The sequence below is a fragment of the Homo sapiens genome, chromosome 7 (assembly GCF_000001405.40).
Source record: "Homo sapiens chromosome 7, GRCh38.p14 Primary Assembly".
In the NCBI taxonomy this organism is placed as follows: Eukaryota; Metazoa; Chordata; class Mammalia; order Primates; family Hominidae; genus Homo; species Homo sapiens.
The window spans coordinates 56,853,452-56,865,511 of record NC_000007.14 but is presented as its reverse complement, the minus strand read 5'-3'; the positions used below and the strand labels follow the sequence as shown (position 1 = coordinate 56,865,511).

The 12,060-nt window shown below is 42.4% G+C and overlaps 1 long non-coding RNA gene across 2 annotated transcripts; it reads left to right on the top strand.

The window, feature by feature from the left end:
• The first annotated feature begins 3,190 nt into the window (after positions 1-3,190).
• On the top strand, positions 3,191-7,512 carry LOC105375295 (uncharacterized). 2 transcript variants are annotated; one of them, XR_927297.1, is made up of 3 exons: positions 3,191-3,218; positions 4,615-4,681; positions 7,474-7,512. It is a non-coding gene; the product is annotated as an uncharacterized LOC105375295 (long non-coding RNA). The 2 variants fall into 2 exon arrangements; XR_927296.2 differs by lacking the exon at positions 3,191-3,218 and adding an exon at positions 4,084-4,211.
• Positions 7,513-12,060: the final 4,548 nt, after the last annotated feature.

Here is a 12,060-nt window from a genome sequence, read left to right as displayed (position 1 = left end):
CTCCCTCACCCTGTGACTTAGCCTTAACCATCTGGGAATGCAGCTCAGTAAGTCTTAGCCTCATTTTACCCAGCTCCTACTTAAGATCGAGTTGCTCTCTTTCAAATGCTTCTGACAGTATTGCTGCTTTCTTTAAGGTTCCTGAAAGAGAGAGAGGAAATCTTGGATTTTTCATGGCTGTGAACCACTGCAAGTATTGAGGAAATGTTTACTACTTTCAGCCTCATAATCCTGCAGTCATTTGGCACCTGTGAGTCAGGTGCAGGGGAACTGCCCCATACAGTCTGGAGCATTCAATCTGGTGGGGAAATGTGTAGTAAGTAGGAGATATTTACAGTGTAAGGTGTTAAGGTCTGGGGTAGAATTAAGTAGAATAAGGGGATGAGGAGGCAGAGGGTGTGATTGGGGCAGCCTTGATGATATGTGATGAGCACATTCTGCAGTTGGCCTCACCTCTTTCTAAAACTTCCACTTTTTTCACTCTCACCTTCAACAATTGGTTCTTTTTTATTTTATAGAAAATTTGTTAGAATTAGGTTTATATATTTTCTTGAATTAACAGAATAATTTAATTTAACATCACTCTCTAGTGTGACTAAAAGCCTCTAATCCTTTACTGTTTTTTGTTTATGGGCATATTTGTTTTTACAGCTATAATAATTATTTCATTTTGTGTGGTTTCTCAAAAACACATGTTTCTTATATCAAAGAGTCTCTATACTAGAGTCCTTCAGATTTGGTGCTAATAACATTAAGAATTTAAGACAGGTCTTGAGATGTTAGAGGAAAGCCAGTCTAAGAACACAGAAATTAATTGTTAATTTATTTTGAGTTGACATTTAAGTTGAGGTGTGGAGGTGGAGGAGACAGTTGGATAAATGAGTTTGGAAGTAAGGAGAAAGATCTGGGAATAGATACAATTTTGGATTTTATAGTTGCGTTTTCATAGCAATTGTTGTTATTGCCAAAATAATTCATCAGTGAGCTCCCTGACAGCTCCCCAACCTTTCTTTTTAAAGAAACAGGATTGGCAGGGTGTGGTGGCCCATGTCTGTAATCCCAGCATTTTGGAAGGCAGATCACCTGAGGTCGGGAGTTCAAGACCAGCCTGACCAGCATGGAGAAACCCCATCTCTACTAAAAATACAAAATTAGCTGGGTGTGGTGGTGTGTGACTGTAATCTCAGCTACTTGGGAGGCTGAGGCAGGAGAATAACTTGAACCCGGGAGACAGAGGTTGCAGTGAGCTGAGATCCCACCATTGCACTCCAGCCTGGGTAACAAGAGTCAAACTCCATCTCAAAAAAAAAACAAAAAAAACCAGGGTCTTGTTATGTTGTCTGGGCTGGACTAGAACTCCTGTGCTCAAGTTATCCTCCTGCCTCAGTCTCCTAAGTAGCTGGGGCTACAGGCACATGCCAGCATGTCCAGCTTTGAGCCACTCCCACCCATCATGTTGTAAAATATTTAAATGTTACAGAGGTGTGAGGGAGATGTGTATATAAACAGCACAGTAAATTGCTTGAATCTTTTTTTAGAGTTCTGTTTGGATGTGGCTTCAGAGCAGGGATTAATCAATTTATTTATACTTTTTTCTTTTCTTTTTTTTTTTTTTTTGAGGTGGATTCTCACTCTGTCACCCAGGTTGCAGTGCAGTGGCGAAGTCTCAGCTCACTTCAGCCTCTGCTTCCTGGATTCAAGTGATTCTCTTGCCTCAGCCTCCTGAGTAGCTGGGACTACAGGTACCTGCCACCATACCTGGCTGACTTTTTTTTGTTTTTTGTATTTTTGGTAGAGACAGGCTTTCACCATGTTGACCAGGCTGGTCTCGAACTCCTGACTCATGTGATCCACCTGTCTCGGCCTCCCAAAGTGCTGGGATTACAGGTATGAGTCACTGCGCCTGGCTGTTTTATTTTACATTTTTAAATTACAATTTTTATACCTATTCAGAAGTAGAGAAAATAGTACAATGACCGCTAAAATACCCATTCCTCAATTTCTGTGATCTTTAAGATTGTCCCACATTTTGTTCTTCTGTTCTTTTACCTCCCTTTGCAGGAATATTGTAAAGCAAATCAGTCATCACATCATTTTATCTGTTCAGTGTGCATCCCCGAACAGCATTTATGTATTCCTACACAGCCACTATCTCATCACATCTGACAAAATGAACAATGATTTTTTTGGTATCAGCTCATATGCAGCCCTTAGCTGAGTCTCCTCACTCTTTTCTTTCTTTTTTTTTTTTTTTTTTTTTTTTTTTTGAGACAGAGTCTTGCACTGTCGCCCAGGCTGCAGTGCAATGTTCTAATCTCGGCTCACTGCAGCCTCTGCCCCCTGTGCTCCAACAATTCTCCTGCCTCAGCCTCCTGAGGAGCTGGGATTACAGGCGCATGCCACCACACCCGGTTAATTTTTGTATTTTTAGTAGAGACGGGGTTTCGCCATATTGGCCAGGCTGGTCTTGAACTCCTGACCTCAGGTGATCCTCCCACCTCGGCCTCCCAGAGTGCTGGGATTACAGGTGTGAGCCACTGCACCTAGCCAAGTTTCCTCACTCTTACCTGAACAGTATCTCATTTTCTCATTATCTGAAAAATTTTGCTTTAAATCTGGATCCAAACAATCTTCATGTGCTAACTTTGGTTGTTATGCCTCTTGTAATCTAAACAGGCCTCTGCTTACTTTTTAAATTTCCCATTCCATTAATTCTTTGTGCAAAGTTTTTTATTTTTATTTTTTTTAATAGCATGCTCACAAGGTTGAAGGGGTAGTAAAGAAGATCTTGTTGTTTCCGTGTAGATGAAAGTTTAGCCTGAAATGTGCCAGTTTGCAGCAACCAAAGGAGGAGGGTTATTACGGTCTTGAGCAGTTAGTAGCAAAGGGCTGCTTCCAAATAGTATTTGCAGGCCAGGTGCAGTGGCTCACGCCTATAATCCCAGCACTTTGGGAGGCTGAGGTGGGTGGATCACCTGAGGTAAGGAGTTCGAGACCAGCCTGGCCAACATGGTGAAACCCCATCTCTACTAAAAATACAAAAAATTAGCCAGGCATGGTGGCTGGCACCTGTAATCCCAGCTACTCGGGAGGCTGAAGCAGGAGAATCACTTGAAGCTGGGAGGCAGAGGCTGCTATGAACTGAGATCACAGCACTGCACTCCAGCCTGGGCAACAGAGTGAAACTCCGCAACAACAACAACAACAACAGTAAAAAAGTAAGTTCTATTTGCCACTGAAGTCATTTCTGGAATTAAAACAATAAAATGACATTTCTACTAAAATGTTTTTCTAGCTAGAGGTGACAAGTGTGGCCATAAGTCCTTCATGGAAAAGCCTGGCTCTGAGCTGCAGTCCTGGCACTTTCCATTGCCCCTGAAGTCCCCAATCCTGTACACAGCCATCTTCATCAGTGCAAGAATAGTGACCACTGCCTCCATGGTGTTTAGAGGCACCATGGTGGCTCACAGTACACCTAAGTACTTGAATGAAGTCTAATTTGCTGGATTTTATCTGCTCTGTTATTCCTGGGTCAGTCTTAAGAGTGACTAAATATTGATGATTGAGTTTCTTTTCTTTTCTTTTTTTTTGAGGCAGAGTTTTACTCTCGCTGCCCAGGCTAGAGTCCAGTGGTGTGATCTCCACTCACTGCAACCTCCACCTCCTGGGTTCAGGTGAGTCTCCTGCCTCAGCCTCCTGAGTAGCTGGGATTACAGAAATGCGCCACCATACCTGGCTAATTTTTGTGTTTTTAGCAGAGATGGGGTTTCACCAAGTTGGTCAGGCTGGTCTTGAACTCCTGAACTCAGGTGACCCACCCGCCTTGGCCTTTCAATGTGCTGGAATGACAGGCATGAGCCACCATACCCGGCCTGATGTGATGATTGAGTTTCCTACTATATCTGTGTTCCTGCAGAATTTTAGTGGCTGAAGAAAATACACTAGTGTTGATTTTCTTTTTCATGAAAGAAGTAATTTATTCTTCATATAATTACTTGCCAGTCATGGGAAGGAAATGTCAGGGTTTTTGTACACAATGATAGGAATTATTGTTACATTACAGGGTGACTCCGCGAACTCCTTTTGAAAAAACTCTCATCATATCAGGACTGTTTTACTAGCTGTTAGACCACCATTGTACTGGCTACTATAACATTTCTTGGTATTCTTTCTTGACTTGAACTAATTATTTCCTACTTGCCACACTAAAGGTAAGAGATTACATGTACTTCCTGTTATATTTCACTGCATTAAGACATTCTTTATCAGCATTTCTTAAAATCATAGAGAGTCATTGGCCAATATCTTTGTGGGACTTGCAGTTAGTTTCTTAGCTTTTTAAGTTATGTTATTTAATGGACCTCTTTTTCTTTTTTTTTTTTTTTTTTTTAAATTTCACTGGAAATGTCACATTTGCAATCCTACTTTATGCATGTTTCCATGGCTTTTTTGAGCCGCCTGTAGAGGACTACACTACAAGTTTAATTCTGCAGGTTTCTTCGAAAAGAGTCAAACTGTATGAATTTTAATACTCTACTCTTATAAAACATCTCCTTTTGTATTTTTTTCCTACAACATACTAAAGTAATTCTGTGCTTATTTTACAACTTTCAGTCCCCAAAAAGACCATGAAGGCCTGAGAGTAATGAAAATCTTCCTGAAATTGAGGTCACTGTGGAAGGTAAGGGCCAGTCATTGGCATGTTTCTGTTGATTCTTCAGTTTAATAGTTACGCTAATTCACTAGCTATGTGTTTATGCAGATGAAGTTAACCAAACTAGTTTTACATGTGAACAGCTGCCTTTGATAAAGCTAAATTTCTGAAAGTTTTTAATTCAAATTTTGAAAATCATTAGCAGAAAATAAATAACTTTGATCACATCATAAACTGCATTCAGGAAAATCTCCAAAATGCTTTTCCTTTATTACAACAAATAAGAATGGAGAGGGGCACGTGGAATGTTTCTTGATCTTTTGTCCTCTTTGTTTTTTCTGTACTTTTAAGGAAAGAAAGTTTAGGGGTAGTTTAAACAGCAGTGCCTGGAATGAAAATATTTCCTACAACACCCTCTAATGTACTTCCTTTTCTCCATGCCCACGGGGTCTCCAGGATTCTCATCTTTTCATGTTTACAATATTAAAATACTTCATACAGTGCCAAAGACAGTTCCCAGCCAACCATCAAATATGGGTATTTCTTCCATCTCCTCATGAATGCAAAAGGAAATAACTGCATTAGGATTTTTTTTTTTTTGAGACAGATTAGGGCTGTAGGAATAGTGTTACCAGGAATAACTTGTGGATTGTTTACTACTGCAGTCAGCTGTGATTTTCCAAATAGGGAGATGCCTGTTTTTCTCACATAAGAGTAATTGTGCTGGTAGGCTCAGGCTGACATTGGTTCAGTTGCTCAAACATGGTAAGACTGGCTTCCCTGTGCTTCTCTTCACTTTTCTTTCTGGTGCACGGTGATGGAGGGAGCTCCTGTCATCATGTCTCCATCCAAGCAGGACATAAATAAGTAAAGAAAATGCAGCATGAGCCCTGCCTGCAACCATGATCAGGAAAAGCAAGAGGCGTTTTTTGAATCCTAGCACAATTTTGCATAAGTCTCTTGGTTTTAAAAGAGATGAATTTTAAAATAGTAAAATAATATAAAGCACAAATTCTGAGGCCAAAGTGATAGGATTTAAATCTGTGCTCTGCCACTTAGGAAAATTACTTAAATTCTCTGTTATTTAGGTTGCACCCTGTAAAATGGGAGGAGGAAAATAATATTTGACTCATAGTTTTTAAAAATCGAGATTTTTTTTTTTTTTATTTCTGAGATGGAGTTTTGCTCTTGTTACTCAGGCTGGAGTGCAGTGGTGTGATCTCGGCTCACTGCAGCCTCTGCCTCCCAGGTTCAAGTGATTCTCCTGCCTCAGCCTCTCGAGTAGCTGGGATTAAGGTGCCCACCACCATACCCAGCTAAGTTTTTGTATTTTGAGTAGAGATGGGGGTTTCACCATGTTGGCCAGGCTGTTCTCCAACTCCTGACCTCAGGTGGTCTGCCCACCTCAGTCTCCCAAAGTGCTGGGATTACAGGCATGAGCCACCACACCTGGCCAAGATATTTCTTTAATAAACAACTGCTATCATTTCAGACCACTTGCTATTTAGGCACTTAGGAATTTTTTACTAGAAGGCATGTAAAGAAAGACGATGGGCATTTGTAATGGATTCAGCATTCATCATTTGACTGCATGACTGACCCCCAGAGATATGATTTTATTAAAGAATTTTTCAGAAGCCACTTAGCTAGTAACTGAGCCTAACCAGACACCCACCCTCACCATTCAGTGCTCTTTTGTTCTTCTCTGTTTCTCCTCAAACTTTATTACTCTCACAAAGTGATAAAAACTTGCATTTCTTTTCTTTCCTTTGTAGAGACAGGGTCTTGCTCTGTTACTCAGGCTGCAGTGCAGTGGTGTGATCATGGCTTGCTGTAGCGTCATATTCCTGGGATCAAGTAATACTCCCACCTCAGCTTCCCAAGGAGCTGGGACTATAGACGTACAACAGCATGCAAAGCTAAATTTTTTATTTTTTATTTTATTTGTTTATTTATTTTTATTTGTTTTTGAGATGGAGGTTTTTGTTTTTGTTTTTGTTTTGTTTTTTTTAATGACAGGGCCTCACTGTGCTTCCCAGGCTGGTCTCAAACTCCTGGCCTCAAGCAATCCTCCTGCCTTGGCTTCTGAAATTGCTGGAATTATAAGCAGGGGGTACAATGCCTGGCCTCCTATGTTCTCTAGCCTTCTCTTTGCTTTTTGGTAGCCAATCTCTCATTATGCTGTTGCCTTGTTATAATTAATACTTTTTTGTTTTGAATTTTACCACTTTAAATTTTCGAGTGGTTTGTGTCTCCTGATTGGACTCCTACAAATAAAGAATTGATGCTAGGAAGGGTACCAGGAGATGGACCCACACAGATGGGATTTGGGCATAGGTTTGGTTATCCAAGGGGCAGCGCTGAGCTCCTTGCCAATGGGATATGGGATGCTGGTCATTTCCAGGAAGTGACCTCACAATGACTCAAGCTACCACTTACTGTTGATTGTGATGAATTGCCAGCTGAGGCACATACCTTGGGAGCTAAGTAGTTGCTGCACTTGACCACTATGAAGATTGGTGTGGGAAGGGTCCTTTTGGATGCACTTGAGCAGGGGCCCCTAATCCCTGGGTCACAGGCCTGTATTGGGCCACACGGCAGGAGGTGAGCAGCGGGTGTGTGAGTGAAGCTTCATCTGTATTTACAGCCACTCCCCACATTACTGCCTGATCTCGGGCTCCTGTCAGATCAGTGGCAGCTTTAGATTCTCATAGGAGCACGAATCCTATTGTGAACTGTGCATGTGAGGGATCTACCTTGCTCCGTTCTTATGAGAATCTAATGCCTGATAATCTATGACTGTCTCACATCACCCCCAGATGGGACCATCTAGTTGCAGAAAAACAAGCTCAGGACTCCCACTGATTCTACATTATGGTGAGTTACATAATTATTTCATTACATACTACAATATAATAATAATAGAAATAACGTACACAATAAATGTAATTTACTTGAAATATTCCAAAACTGACCTGCTGCCCCCAGTCTGTGGAAAAATTGTCTTCCACAAAACCAGTCCCTGGTGCCAAAAAAATTGGGGACCGCTGCACTTGAGCACTTACAGAGAGAAAAACAAAAAGTTCAAGTCTTTACCTCTCAGCATAAGTTGCGGTCTAAGATCCAGAGAGCTTCCATGATAGCCCAAACACAATTCCTTATTTTTTGTATCCACAGGGCTGATATTGAAAATCAAACACAAACTTAAATGTGCGGGTTGCTGAATTGCAATGACAGTTGAATTCACCTACCCTCCAGCCACACGGAATGTCAGTTTCCTTCCGGGACTTTACTGGTCCTTGAGGAAACCCTCTCCCTACCCCCATCATCACTCTTTCACTCTCATCTTTGCTCATCTTTAGCCTCAGCTGAGATGTCTCACCTCACTCTCTATGATGCAACGAGAAGCCCCTTGGGAGCGTTTCAGTCCCACTCTATACTCCTGTCATTGTGCTCATCACAGTCTGGTAAGTGTTGACATACGATTCCTATATTAGTCCATTTTCCATTGCTATAAGGAAACACCTGAGGCTAGGTAGTTTATAAAGAAAAAAAGTTTATTTGGCTCACAGTTCTGCAGACTGTACAAGTAGCATGGTTCCAGGCTGGGCCATGGCCCACACCTGTAACCCCAGCACTTTGAGATGCTGAGGCAAAAGGATTGCTTGAGCCCAGAATTTTGAAACAAGCCTGGGAAACATGGTGAGACCTTGTTTCTACTAAAAATAAAAAAAATAGCCAGGTATGATGGTACACTAATGCATGCCTGTTGTCCCAGCCACCTTGGAGGCCAAGGTAAAAAGATCTGGGAAAGTGCTGGGATTATTGGCATGAGCGACCACATCTGGCCAGTTTATTTTCTATTACTGGCTCAATGTAAAGGCTGCATCTCAGGAACAGCCAATGAAAGAGATGCACAGGGTAAGGTAAGTGGGAAAAGGGGCACTTCCATGCCCTCTGTTGGGCACACTACCCTTCCAGCACCGCCTTGTGTTCAGCAAAACAGAAGCTCTCCAAACCGTATTGTTTAGGGTTTTCATGGAGGCATGATAAAATCATTGGCCATTGGTCGTTAAATCTCCAGACCCTTTTGCCTCCTGGAGTTCAGCGAGTGAGGCTGAAAGTTCCAAGCCTCAAAAAATGTGGTTGGGGCCAGATGCAGTGTCTCAGCCTGTAATCCCATAACTTTGGGAGGCCAAGGCGGTGGATCACTTGAGTTCAGGGGTTCAAGACCAACCTGAACAACGTAGTGAAACTCCGTCTCTACTGAAAAAACAAAAATTAGCTGGGCATGGTAGCGGGCACCTGTATGTAGTCCCAGCTACTCGGGAGGCTGAGGCAGGAGAATCATTTGAACCCAGGAGGTGGAAGTTTCAGTGAACCAAGATCACATCACTGTACTCCAGCCTGGGTGACAGCGAGACTCTGTCTCAAAAAAAAAAAAAAAAAAAGTTGAAAAAAATTAGCCAGGCGTGTCAGCTCCTAGGGAGGCCAAGGCAGGAGGATTGTTTAAGCCTGAGAGGTTGAGGTTGCTGTGAGCTGTGACTGCACCACTGTACTTTATCCTGGGCAATAGAGAAAGACCCTGTTTCAAAAAGAAAGAAATGAGCATGATGGAAATGGGGACAGATGGCAATGTTAAGTAGAGTGGTCAGGGTTGGCCTCATAAGTGAAAATTGAGCAAAAGTTTGAAGCAGGTGATGGAGCTGGCCAAGGTGCTGAGGGAAGAGCACTGCAGGCTGAATCAACAGGATAAAGGCATTGGGAGGAAACTCCCTGGTGTGTCTGAGGCTCTGGAAGGAGGCCAGTGGAGCAAACAGATAGAGGGAGAGAAGTAGGGGAGGAGCCAGGGAGTTGCTGGGCTGGGATCAGTACAGATCGTGTAAGCCCTGGGAGGCCATCGCTGGGGCTTTGGCTTTTACTCTGACTAAAATGGGAACTGTGGGGTGGTTCTGAGCAGAGAGGCAACATGATCTGTCTCCTGATTTAAAAGCACCCCCTGGCTGCTGAGTTGAGAAAGACTGTGGGAAGATTTGGGTAGAAGCACAGGGGCCAAGCTGTGGCAACATCCAGGTGGGAGATGATAGTGGTCCTGACCAGGGTCGTGGTGGTGAGAGATGGTCAGAGCCTGGATACATGTTGAAGTCAGTCAATAGGATTTCCTGACAGACTGGATGTGAACTGCGAGAGAAGGTGGGAGTCAAGCTTGAGTTTGATTCTAATTGAATTATTAATTAAAAAAAACACTACTACCTTTCTCAGTCCTACTAAGTAAAGGATGCAAGATTAAAGAAGTCTCAAGTCAGGCCAGATGCAGTGTCTCACACCTATAGTTCCAACAGCTTGAGAGGCAGAGATGGGAGTACGTTTTAAGGCCGTGAGTTTGAGAGCAGCCTGGGCAACATAGCAAGACCTCCTCTCTACAAAAATAAAAGAAATTTAATAAAATAAAATAAATATAGCTGGGCATGGTGGTGTGCACCTATAGCCTCAGTTACTCAGGAGGCTGAGGTAGGCAGATCTCTTGAAGCTAGGAGTTTGAGGCCAGCTTGGGCAATATAGCAAGACTTCTCTCTTTACAAAAATGAAAAAAATAGTGTGACATGGTGTTACTTGCCTGTATTCCCAGGTACTGGGGCAGCTGAGGCAGGAGCATCTCTGGAGCCCAGTTGGTGAAGGCTGTAGTGAGCTATGATTATACCACTGCACTCCAGCCTGGGTGACAGACTGGGACCCTGTCTCAAAATACAAATACAAATGAAATGAAATCTGAAGTCAGACCAGTCCCTTCTAGGCTATGCAGTCCTTACAACCGCATAGCCGTGTGATCGGGTTTTTGTGGCTGTGGATGAGGAGACCTCTTTCCAGTTGTTGTTGGCTATATAATCAGTTTATTTTTAAATATAGTAATCAAATACGTTTCCTCATACTTGATCATCTCAGATATGTGTGGGTTTTGAAATTCTCCTTGAAAGAAATTGTAACACCTTATTGGCTCCATCATTCCATAATTTTTTTATCTGATCAGTTTTTTAAAAGATCAGAATTGATATTAGACCACCAAGTCAGTTTTGATTAATGAGAAAATGAAATTGCATTGTTTGCACTTTATCCAAGATTGGTGTCATATTGGCTAAATCAAATCAAAACACAAAATTAGAACTTTTTTATCGTGAAACTATGTCATTCTTGAAGAAGATGCCATTTTTTTTTTTTTTGACAGAGTCTTGCTTTTGTCACCCAGGCTGGAGTGCAATGGCATGATTTTGGCTCACCGCAACCTCCCCCTGCTGGGCTCAACCAGTTCTCCTGCCTCAGGCTCCCAAGTAGCTGGGATTACAGCCACGTGTTACCACACCCAGCTAATTTTTGTATTTTTAGTAGAGACACGGTTTCACCATGTTGGCCAGGCTGGTCTCGAACTCTTGACCTCAGGTGAACTGCCTGCCTAGGCCTCCCAAAGTGTAGGGATTACAGGCATGAGCCACCATGCCCGGCCTCCATTTCTTTTTTGTAGTCTTTAGTAAACAGCTGCTATCATTGCAGACTTGCTATTCAGACACTTAGGAATTTTTCACTAGGAGGCATGTAAAGAAAGACCATGAGCATTTGTAATGAATTTAGCATTCATTCTTTGACTGCATGGCTATCCCCAGAGCTGTAACTTTACTAATGAATTTTTTAGAAGCTGATAAGCTAGCAACTGAGCCTAACCAGCCACTCACCTTCATTATTCAGTGCCCTTTTATTCTTGTCTATTTCTCCACCAACTTGGCTACACTCACAAAGTGGTAAAAACTTGCATTTCTTTTCTTTCCTTTTTAGAGACAGAGTCTTGCTCTGTTACCCAGGCTGCAGTACAGTGACATGATCATGGGTCACTGTAGCTTCAAACTCCTGGGCTCAAGCAATCCTCCCATGTCAGTCTCCCGGGTAGCTGGGACTACAGACATGTGCCACCATGCCCAGCTAATTTTTTTATTTTTTTTATCATAGAGACGGGATCTTGCTAGGTTGCTCAGACTGGGCTCAAACTTCTGACCTCAAGTGATCCTCCTGCCTCAGCCTCCCAAAGAGCTGGGATTACAGGCAGGCATGACTACCTGTGCCCAGCCCCTTATTATTATTATTTAAAATAATAGCTTTATTAAAATATAATTCACATACCATTCACTTTATTTATTGAAATCTGCAATTCAGTAGGTTTTAGAGTATTCCCAGAGCTGTACATCGATCACCACAGTCACTTTTAGAAACTTTCATTACTCTATAGAGAAATCCGCACCCCTTAGCCACTACCTCCTACTCCCCCGACCTGCCTTGGCCACCAGCCTTAGGCAACCATTGATCCATTTTTTTGTCACTATAGATTTGCCTAACCTGGACAAATAGAATTGTATAATATG